This window comes from Homo sapiens, chromosome 10 (assembly GCF_000001405.40).
Source record: "Homo sapiens chromosome 10, GRCh38.p14 Primary Assembly".
In the NCBI taxonomy this organism is placed as follows: domain Eukaryota; kingdom Metazoa; phylum Chordata; class Mammalia; order Primates; family Hominidae; genus Homo; species Homo sapiens.
In genome coordinates this window covers 101,578,135-101,588,273 of record NC_000010.11, presented here as the reverse complement: position 1 = coordinate 101,588,273, position 10,139 = coordinate 101,578,135, and the positions used below count along the sequence as shown (strand labels likewise).

Sequence of the window (10,139 nt, the reverse complement as noted above, 5' to 3'; positions counted from 1 at the left end):
GGCTGACTCGGAAGCTATTCTGGCCATTTGCCCTCCTTCCCCCCTTCGTCCGCTCTCATTGGCTCTGCTGGTAAGTGGTCTATTCCTGCCCACCCCCGGGTGACTAGCTTGGCCAGTAGTCGACCCCACCCGGGGACCGACTCTGGGGGTTGGAGAGACTCTTGGGGCCGGGGTCGGGCACTCCAGCTTTCTTCTAGCCCCGAGCTGGGATTCCCTGGCCTGCGCCAGCTGCGTACACGGCGAGTACACCGCACCTGCCCGGGACTTCACCCGCAGCTGCGAGACTCCTCCATTCCCGGAGGGCTCCCCACACCTGCTGCGGCCGTGCCCCATCTCCCCGCAGCTGCGGCGCTGAGCACCCCCATGTCGAGAGGCTGAGACCAGGACAGGTGCAGGGCGTTCCCACTCACCCCCGAAAGTCCTCCTCCTTCCTCTGCGAGTCTGTGTTGGAGGTAGAGAAATAGTATGTGGGGTTTATGTGCAGGTCCTCCCCAGGCTCCGCTCCATCCCCTAAAGCTCCATTTCCTAGCCCAGCATCCCATTTGGTAAAGCCCTTCGAAGTGGGCCGCAGCAGGGCTGTGCTGAATCTTTAGCGCAACCCCTCTGAGGAATGGTGTCGTTTCCTACTCCTCAAAAGTACCCCCGATGGCACCAGCCTTCCCCTCATTTCCCGTAATACTCCAACTTCGAAAGGCTGGGGAGTGTGAAGCTAGGCTAAACCACTGAAGTTTAACCGGGTTTGAAGAGACCCCCTCCCCCGACCCGCTTCCCCAAACTGGGCTGCTACCCCCAAAGCCTGGTCAGGAAAGACCCTACCTCCATAGGCAAAGGGGTTGGAGGGCCTCAATTCTGGATTTCCACGTGCAGCAGCCCTGACCAACGCTCCAATAGGCCGGGATCCAGCCATACTTCAATGGATCCCAGGGGTATCTTGAAGGCATTTCCCAAGCGGCAGAAAATTCATGCTGATGCATCATCAAAAGTACTTGCAAAGATTCCTAGGAGGGAAGAGGGAGAAGAAGCAGAAGGTGAGCTGACCCAGTCTCAGAACCCTCGTGTGCTTGAACCCACAGCCTTCATGTGCTTCAGCCCTACGTTGTTTATGTCCAGAATCAGATATTGGAGCTGACTCTGCCTGTCCAGGGCCTGCAGGTCTGTTTGTATCTACCTTGTGCTAAGCTTGGTCCTGGGTCTTGGACAGGCTATTTGCTGTGTTACCTTCTTTTCTACCCGAAGACCTCTATCCATCAGAAAAGACTCCCTGGGCCCTCAGGGAATGACCAGTATAATTTTTGCCCTGAGGACTGGGACAGAAACCCCCCTCCATTACCCAGGCTTGTTGTTAGTTGTTTTGCAGCCAAATTGGCAAATAAATGGCAGAGGCTTTGGAGGCAGGGTTGTCGGGTCTGTCAGACTGTAAGGGCAAGAAACGCGCTTTGTTGAAAGAATAAATGATAAAGGATTCAAAGTATGGAGAGAGGCTGGGCGCGGTGGCTCTTGCCTGTAATCTCAGCACTTTGGGAGGCCGAGGCAGGCAGATCACCTGTGCTCAGGAGTTCGAGACCAGCTTGGGCAACATGGCGAAACCCTGTCTCTACTAAAAATACAAAAAATTAGCCAGGCATGGTGGCACACGCCGGTAATCCCAGCTACTCGGGAGGCTGAGGCATGAGAATCGCTTGAACTCGGGAGATGGAGGTTGCAGTGAGCCAAGACGATGCCACTGTACTCCAGCCTGGGCGACAGAGTGAGACTGTCTCCAAACAAAAACAAAACAAAAGAAAACAAAACAAACAAACAAAAAACAAAGTAAGAAGGGAGGAGGCATTCATTAAACAAATATTTACAGGTTACTTACAATGTGCCAGACACTTCTAGATTGCACCAAGGAACAGGACGTATGAAAATCCTTGTCCCTTACATTCAAGTGCTGGCCTGTGAGAAAATTTGCTATATGTAGAAGGAAAGCTGTCTGGATGGAAGGGAAATGCTTATTTTCAGGGTAGGGGACTGTGAACACGTCATTCAGATCATGTTAGAAGTTATGTCGTGGCCAGGGGGTGGCAGATAAAAATTAAAAAGTTACAACAGTAGTCATCTGGATGTTCCTTCCACAGAGTGGCTGAGCTCCCTTCGGGCCCATGTTGTGCGCACTGGCATTGGACGAGCCCGGGCAGAACTCTTTGAGAAGCAGATTGTTCAGCATGGCGGCCAGCTATGCCCTGCCCAGGGCCCAGGTGTCACTCACATTGTGGTGGATGAAGGCATGGACTATGAGCGAGCCCTCCGCCTTCTCAGACTACCCCAGCTGCCCCCGGGTGCTCAGCTGGTGAAGTCAGCCTGGCTGAGCTTGTGCCTTCAGGAGAGGAGGCTGGTGGATGTAGCTGGATTCAGCATCTTCATCCCCAGTAGGTGGGCTGATCCCAGTCTTTTTTTCAAATGTTTTCTAGTAGCATCTTGAGCTCTTTTCTTGAATTATTAAAAATAACTATCATTAATTAAAAAATTAGCCAGGCATGGTGGGGTGTGCCTGTAGTCCCAGCTATAAGAGGTTTAGGTGGGAGGATTGATTGAGCCAGGGAGGTTAAGGCTGCAGTGAGCCTTGATCGTACCACTGTACTCCAGCCTGGGTGACAGAGCAAGACCCTGTCTCAAGAGAAACTCCAAAAACCTCAAAAAACTCGTTTTCTTAATTGGACACACTGGGAAACCAAGTATTTCAGAGTACAGAAGGACTGGGGACAGATACAGGGTGAGACCTTTGGTGTCTTAACCTCCCATCACCATCCCCACAGGTACTTGGACCATCCACAGCCCAGCAAGGCAGAGCAGGATGCTTCTATTCCTCCTGGCACCCATGAGGCCCTGCTTCAGACAGCCCTTTCTCCTCCTCCTCCTCCCACCAGGCCTGTGTCTCCTCCCCAAAAGGCAAAAGAGGCACCAAACACCCAAGCCCAGGTCAGGAGCCTCCCATCCCTCAGAACTCCCTTCCCCTAGGAAGCAGATCACAGAAATGGGGTGGGCCTGGTGGCTGTTCAGAAAGTCCCAGGCCCCTGAGAGAGGAGGGCTCTATTGTGAAGCCATTTAGCTCTTCCCAACACTCATCACTGCTGCATTTATCTAGGCCATATCTAACACATACCACTGGGGATCCTAGGGCTAGGCACTGCGTGGAGCCAAAGGGAACGTGGCCTCACACCCAAGGAGATCCAAGTCTGATGCAGAAGGCCCCGCCTCATTCTTAGGTCTGACTAGAAGACCCTCCCCCCGCACAAAGAAGATGACCCCCACCTTTAAGGATCCCTTCTCTTGGAGAACAAGAATTTATTGTTTTCTTTTCTTCTCTATCCCAAGCCCATCTCTGATGATGAAGCCAGTGATGGGGAAGAAACCCAGGTTAGTGCAGCTGATCTGGAAGCCCTCATCAGTGGCCACTACCCCACCTCCCTTGAGGGAGATTGTGAGCCTAGCCCAGCCCCTGCTGTCCTGGATAAGTGGGTCTGTGCACAGCCCTCAAGCCAGAAGGCGACCAATCACAACCTCCATATCACAGAGAAGCTGGAAGTTCTGGCCAAAGCCTACAGTGTTCAGGGAGACAAGTGGAGGGCCCTGGGCTATGCCAAGGCCATCAATGCCCTCAAGAGCTTCCATAAGCCTGTCACCTCGTACCAGGTACCCAGGGGCTAGAGTGGGAGGAGGGGTCTTTACTGGCCAGTGGTTAGTAACCCCAGTGGGGTTCAGGTACAGTGGTGAAGATTTTATGGGGTCTAGGACTTGCACAAAAGAAAAAAAAGGAAAATTGATGAAAGCAGATTGGCAAAATCTTGATAGTTGTTGAAGCTGGGAGATGTACGATACTTGGGGGTTATATGGATCTCTCTACTTTTGAATTTTTTAACATAATTAAAAGTTTTTTATTTTTAATTTTGTTTATTTATTTATTTATTCATTTATTTAGCAGAGATGGTGTTTTGCCGTGTTACCCAGGCTGGTCTTGAACTCCTGGGCTCAAGCAATCTACCCTCGGCTCAGCCCTGCAAAGTGCTGGGATTACAGCCATGAGCCCTTGTGTCCCGCCTAAAAAGTTGTTTAAAAGAAGTTTGGACTCTGAAGCCTAACAGACCAGGGTTTGAACTCTGGTTCCTGTCATTCACTAACTGTGTGACTCCAGACAAGTTACTTAAACTCTCAAAGCATCAGTTTTCTCATTAGTAAAAAGGGGCTACTATTAAATGAAATGGTCCCTGTAGCACAGGACCTGACATAGAGTAAGCCCTCAGTAAATGTTAGCTCTTGCTGTTGGAATGATGATGATGGTGGTGGTGGTGGTGGTGACTAATATCATCATTATTTTCTACTTCTTACTGCTGGTCTCCATCCTTCTGGGAACCAAAAGACAAATTACCCAGCCCTCATTCTATCCAAAATTCTCATCTTCAACTACACCCAAGCTTTACACAGCCACACAGTTGCCAAGCAGCCAGGCTGGCTTTTATGTCAGCATCTGCTAGAGGAGTCAGCTTCCTTTCCACTGGCTCTACCTCTTCCATCTCCTCACTCTTCTTTCTTGCCTCTGCCTCCTCCTCCTCTAGGAGGCCTGCAGTATCCCTGGGATTGGGAAGCGGATGGCTGAGAAAATCATAGAGATCCTGGAGAGCGGGCATTTGCGGAAGCTGGACCATATCAGTGAGAGCGTGCCTGTCTTGGAGCTCTTCTCCAACATCTGGGGAGCTGGGACCAAGACTGCCCAGATGTGGTACCAACAGGTCACACCCTGGCTCAGCCCCTACTTCAGTTTTGCTGTGTCTCAGAGTTCCTGCCCCAGATGTGTGCTGTGCTCTGCCCCAGATCCCTATGCTGTGCTCTGATGGGAATGCACCCACAGTATAGGGAGACCATTTTTCAAGCGGACCAGGACTCATATAGACCCCTCAGCTCCCAGAACAGCCTTGTTGCTTGGTATCCTTAAGAAGGAGTAGACAGGGACAAGAAGTATGTTTCTCAGTCTCCCCAGACCAGCAAGGGCCTTCCTGAGGAGGCCAGGCCTTGACACTGCGTGTCTAGAGCAGTGGTTCCCAATCCTGGCTCTGCCCACAATCACCAGGGCAGCTTGGTAAGGATGAAGATGACAAGGTCCATCCTCAGACTGATGGAATCATGAACGAGCATCTTAGGATAGTGGCAGGGCTGGATGATGGCATGTTTCCCATGCTCCCTGCCTTTCCCAAGTCCTGCTGAGTACAGACCCAACTGCCCCTAGGTTGGTCCTGCCTCTAGCCTTCCCTAGAGTCTGGGGCGATGGAAGCCTTGTGTGTGTGCTCACTCATGCCTCTTCATTGGTCCTGGATCCTTACAGCTTCCCATCTGGCTGCTTTTTTCCAGGGCTTCCGAAGTCTGGAAGACATCCGCAGCCAGGCCTCCCTGACAACCCAGCAGGCCATCGGCCTGAAGCATTACAGTGACTTCCTGGAACGTATGCCCAGGGAGGAGGCTACAGAGATTGAGCAGACAGTAAGCAGGTGTCCCAGAGCAGTGAGGACAGCCAGGTCCTGCTGTAAGGTCTTGGGTCAAAGCCAAGAACCCCCAACTCCTCAGCTGGGGAGGACAGCAGGCAGAGGAAACTGTGGATCACCAGAGGTTGAGCACAGAGCAAGTTAAGACTGAAGCTCCAGGCCCAGAGGTGGGGGTGGGGAGCTTTGGGAGGAAAGAGCTGTAACACCAGCCCTCTAGATTCTGGTTCTCAGTAGTCAGGCCTATTAGGATTGGATTCAATTCTAGACTGATTGGTGTTAGGATTGGGTTAATGTTAGGGTTAGATTACAGGTGAATTATATCTGTACTGAGGTTAGGGTGGGTCAGGGCAGAGGGTTTTAATATTTTATTTTATCTTTTTTTTTTATTTCACCAACTTCTTTGAGAACCTGATGAAAACTGTGGACTGTTTTCTCCCCAAAATGCACAAATGTGCAAAGGTTTATGTCTTTTTCCAGATGTATGGACCTTCTAAAGCCCACGCAAGGCTGGCTCAGGATTTGGGGTAGAGTTGGTGTAAAAGCACAGTGTCAGTAGGATTTGGTTTGGGGCTGGAAGAAAGCTCCATCAAGATGGAGTTAAGACCAGGCACAGTGGCTTATGCCTTTAATCCCAGCACATTGGGAGAACAGGGTGGACAGATCATCTGAGCTCAGGAGCTCGAGACCAGCCTGGCCAACGTGGTGAAACCCTGTCTCTATAAAACATACAAAAATTTCCAGCCTGGCAAACATGGCGAAACCCCGTCTCTACTAAAAATACAAAAAAGTTAGGCGGGTGCCGTGGCTCATGCCTATAATCCCAGTTTCTTGGGAGGCTGAGGTGGGAGATTTGCTTGAACCTGGGAGGCGGAGGTTGCAGCGAGCCAAGATTGTGCCACTGCACTCTAGCCTGGGCAACAGAGCAAGACTCTGTCTGAAAAAAAAAAAAAGATTGAGTTAAAGTTAGGCTTTAATTAGGCGTAGGATTTTCTTAATGTTGGTTGCTTTTAAGTTAAGATTTGTAGTTGTCCAAGAAATAAGATTTGGGTTTGGTTTAGAGTTGGGTTAGCGATTAGGTTCATGTAAAAGCTAGATTAGAGAGACACTGGACTGCATTTAGGGCTAGATGTATCATTTGTTCAATGGGCATTAGGATTAGGAGCTGCTTGTAATAGGCAAGTTTTGCTCACTTTGGTCAGGGATTCTGATAGAGTGGGATCCCATGGAGACTGGCCTAGTTTGATTGAAATCAGCCCCCAGCTCCATTCCAGGCCACAAGGCTATGAGGCCGGTATGAGATGGATGGACAGGCCTCTTTGTCTGCCCATCACCAGGCCTTGGTGCTAGTGATGACACCGTCACTCAGCCATGGTGTCCGGGCATGGAGAATGCCTCAGTCAGTACCCAGCCCATTGGAACAAAAGAGGCTTCCCACCTGGCCTCCTGTGCCCCCATTTAAGGGCTCCAGCCATAGGAGTTTTGATGGGATTACTCACGTGGACCTCCTCCTTCCATTCTCTTGGGAGGCTCAAGAAGGGAGTAAGGGGATTAGCGGAGCCCTCCTGTCAGGATACTTGAGGTGTCCGGGGCCCCAGAATTTTCAGTGTCCTGGGGTGGAGGCAGGAGGCCATCTGCATATGAAAGAACCTCAGTGTCTCAGGGGTGGAGGCTAATGGGTTTATTTTTCCTCAGAGGGACAATCCTTCAGCTGGCAGTTGCTGTCTCAGCTCCCTCCCCACCAAGAAAGGATGTGGGTGTTGGCTCAGAACTGCCCCCTCTTTGCTTTCTTTCCTCTCCTTTCCCACAGGTGCAGCTGTATTTCTGTGCTCCACTTTCTCCTGGGCCTGGGCCTGGCGCATGCTGCCAGCCACCTGCTCAGTCCTCAAACCCCAGCTCACATATTCCAAACCTTTAGCTCCAAATCAGTAGATATCTGGGGCTGCCTAGACCTGGCTGAGGGCTTTCAGCACCTGGCCCCTTGTCCTAAGTGGAGTTTCACAGACCTGGGCACGTGGGCTGGGGCAGGGGCAGAGAGAGTCTGTGTCTCCCTACTCTTAAAGAGCTCCACAGGGCAAGCTCAGTGCCCACTCTCAGAAGCAGAGCCGGCACCTTCTCCCGTCTCTCCTCAGGCTTGCCTCCTGCACAGTGAGCTTTTTCTTCTCTCCTGTCCTAGCGAAGGGAAAGAACAGCAGCTCCTCAGGGTGGATTCCCCTGGGCTTGCAGCAGGCATCTGGAATGGGCATAAGCTGAGGGTGTGGGCCCGAGTCTGGGAAGGCCCTTGTACTGCTGTGGGAGAGGAGCTCCCCACGCACAGCCCCTCACCTGTCACCGCTCTCTTTCCCAGGTCCAGAAAGCAGCCCAGGCCTTTAACTCTGGGCTGCTGTGTGTGGCATGTGGTTCATACCGACGGGGAAAGGCGACCTGTGGTGATGTCGACGTGCTCATCACTCACCCAGATGGCCGGTCCCACCGGGGTATCTTCAGCCGCCTCCTTGACAGTCTTCGGCAGGAAGGTATAAGCTCCATCTCTGGGTGAGCAGGTTGACAGAGGGCAGCACAGGTCTGGGGGCCCCCTCAGAGGGAGAACCTCAGAAGTTCCAGTCCTGAGGCAGGAAGCAGGGGAACAGTGCTTTGCCAGCATCCCATCTCTCTATCGGGGCCGGAATCCTCTCCAGGGAGAGATGGAACAGCCCCGCCACACCTATGTGGAGGTGCTCAGTGAACCCTGCAGGCCAAGTATCTCATCTGATCTTTCTGTGACACTATGGGGGAGATGGGAATTACTATCCATGTTTTACAGAAAAGGAGAAGGGCCCAGAGAGGGTAGTGTCACCCAGCTAATACCTGGGCAAGCCCCAGCTTAGACATCAGGAGAGACCTGGGAGGATGGGACAGCCCAGGCCTGGTTCCCTGCCCTCCCAGCAGTCCCCTCTGTTGGGCCAGGGTTCCTCACAGATGACTTGGTGAGCCAAGAGGAGAATGGTCAGCAACAGAAGTACTTGGGGGTGTGCCGGCTCCCAGGGCCAGGGCGGCGGCACCGGCGCCTGGACATCATCGTGGTGCCCTATAGCGAGTTTGCCTGTGCCCTGCTCTACTTCACCGGCTCTGCACACTTCAACCGCTCCATGCGAGCCCTGGCCAAAACCAAGGGCATGAGTCTGTCAGAACATGCCCTCAGCACTGCTGTGGTCCGGAACACCCATGGCTGCAAGGTGGGGCCTGGCCGAGTGCTGCCCACTCCCACTGAGAAGGATGTCTTCAGGCTCTTAGGCCTCCCCTACCGAGAACCTGCTGAGCGGGACTGGTGACCCATGGCTGGGGGTGCTGAGGAGAGCCGAGTTGGACTGGCTACCCCTCCTGGCCACCCAGTACTCCCTCCAGCCTCAGCTGGCTGAACCTCGCCGCTCCAACCACCAGCTTCCTCAGCGAGCAGGGCCCAGGGCTCTGGGCCTGAAGCAAGAGCCAGCCCGGCTCCCAGTGTCTGCCCGGCTCCCAGTGTCTGCCCAGCCCTCTCCCAGACAGGAGCAGGCTGCCACCCCTTCTACCTCACCACTGCCCCTCGAAGAATTTTGCAAATGGCCCCTTGCCCCATTTTAAGCAGGAGCAGGTGGCTGGTTTGAAGCCCCAGGTATCCCCCTTCCCTGCTATGGGAAAGGCCAAGCTGCTGGGTGGGGACAGAAGCTGCAGGGGAGAGGGAAGCAGCCGTGCTGTCAACATCATCCGGCACCCTCTGGGGTAGGAGAACAGCCATTCCACATGTGTTCCCTCTATCCGTCCTGCTTCCTGGGCAGCTGGTGGTGCTGGGAATGGGGTGCCCCAGCCTTGGTGAGGACAGTGTTGGGAGGCCCAGGGGCCCAGTAAAGTGCATTTGACATTGAACCTGCCTGGTGTCTGAGCTGCTGCAGCCTCTGGCTACCTTGTTCCACCCAGGCAGGGACGACAGAGATGGGAACTGAAAAGAGGAGCCCAGAAAGGCTGTGTTAACTGCCCTCCAGACAGGACTGGCCTGAGTCAGCTCCTAAACTCACAGCAAGGACAGCAGTGGCTGTGACCAGGGAGAATGTTGGAGCCAGGCACCCAGAGCTCCTATCTAGTCATCAGCATCTTCTGCAGGCCCTACCTTAGACCAGGCTATCAGGGGACATGAGCAAAAGTGACAAGACTCAGGAAACCATTAGGAACAACTAAATGGTGACCGTGTACACAGGGATGGGCGGCCAGGGAAGGCTTCCCGGAGGAGGAGAGAGGCAGACTGGCAGGGAAATTGCCTCTGAGAGGAGTCAGCAGGCTCTGTTTGGGGACAATTAAGGAACAGCTTTAGAGAGGACACTGTGTGCTGGGAGTCAGGAGCAGGCTGGGCTGGCAGAGGACTGGAAGCAGAGCTTGGTTTGATAGAGCAGACAGGAGCAGGTCCCGCTGGGGAGTGCGGGATGTCTTCCTGAGGCTGTTTCACAGGGCAGGGAGACTTGGTGGGGGAGTGGGGTCATGGAAGGAGCTTCAGGCAGCCCAAGTATGAGGAGGAGTGGGCACAGAGTCAGAAGGAGACTGTATTGGAGGAGGAGCCTGGAGAGGCCCCATGCTGGGAGTTGGGTGGTGACGCGTGAGGGCAGCTTTGGCTCCACAGGG

General features: G+C 53.3%; 1 protein-coding gene across 36 annotated transcripts, besides 1 other annotated feature; it reads left to right on the top strand.

Moving 5' to 3' along the window:
• Positions 4-9,392, top strand: POLL (DNA polymerase lambda). Of its 36 annotated transcripts, none has more exons than NR_033406.1 (9): positions 4-70; positions 1,074-1,152; positions 2,118-2,412; positions 2,796-2,958; positions 3,355-3,672; positions 4,593-4,766; positions 5,383-5,511; positions 7,858-8,026; positions 8,457-9,392. NR_033406.1 is itself a non-coding variant. In XM_011539655.2 (9 exons), the coding sequence occupies exons 2-9, from the start codon at positions 914-916 to the stop codon at positions 8,819-8,821; spliced, it is 1,452 nt and encodes a 483-aa protein (XP_011537957.1). In that variant the 5' UTR covers positions 4-70; positions 868-913; the 3' UTR covers positions 8,822-9,392. The 36 variants fall into 36 exon arrangements, 35 of the variants coding, with proteins under 35 accessions (XP_011537957.1, XP_011537956.1, XP_011537953.1 ...); XM_011539655.2 differs by lacking the exon at positions 1,074-1,152 and adding an exon at positions 868-1,028 and having other exon boundaries at positions 3,355-3,396; XM_011539654.2 differs by lacking the exon at positions 1,074-1,152 and adding an exon at positions 868-1,028 and having other exon boundaries at positions 3,355-3,396; positions 8,436-9,392.
• Positions 98-377: an enhancer, noted in NCBI's record as "active region_3912". NCBI's record gives its function as "activates an Ori minimal core promoter by ATAC-STARR-seq in GM12878 lymphoblastoid cells {active_cell/tissue: GM12878}" and the evidence as "EXISTENCE:reporter gene assay evidence [ECO:0000049][PMID:35858748]".

What these genes read in the sequence shown, in the direction of transcription:
- POLL (XM_011539650.2), top strand. Translation starts at nt 914, where the DNA reads ATGGATCCCAGGGGTATCTTGAAGGCATTTCCCAAGCGGCAGAAAATT. An exon ending in CACCAAACACCCAAGCCCAG is followed by an intron (nt 2,959 to 3,354) that starts GTCAGGAGCCTC and finishes CTCTATCCCAAG; the next exon opens with CCCATCTCTGATGATGAAGC. An exon ending in CTACAGAGATTGAGCAGACA is followed by an intron (nt 5,512 to 7,857) that starts GTAAGCAGGTGT and finishes TCTCTTTCCCAG; the next exon opens with GTCCAGAAAGCAGCCCAGGC.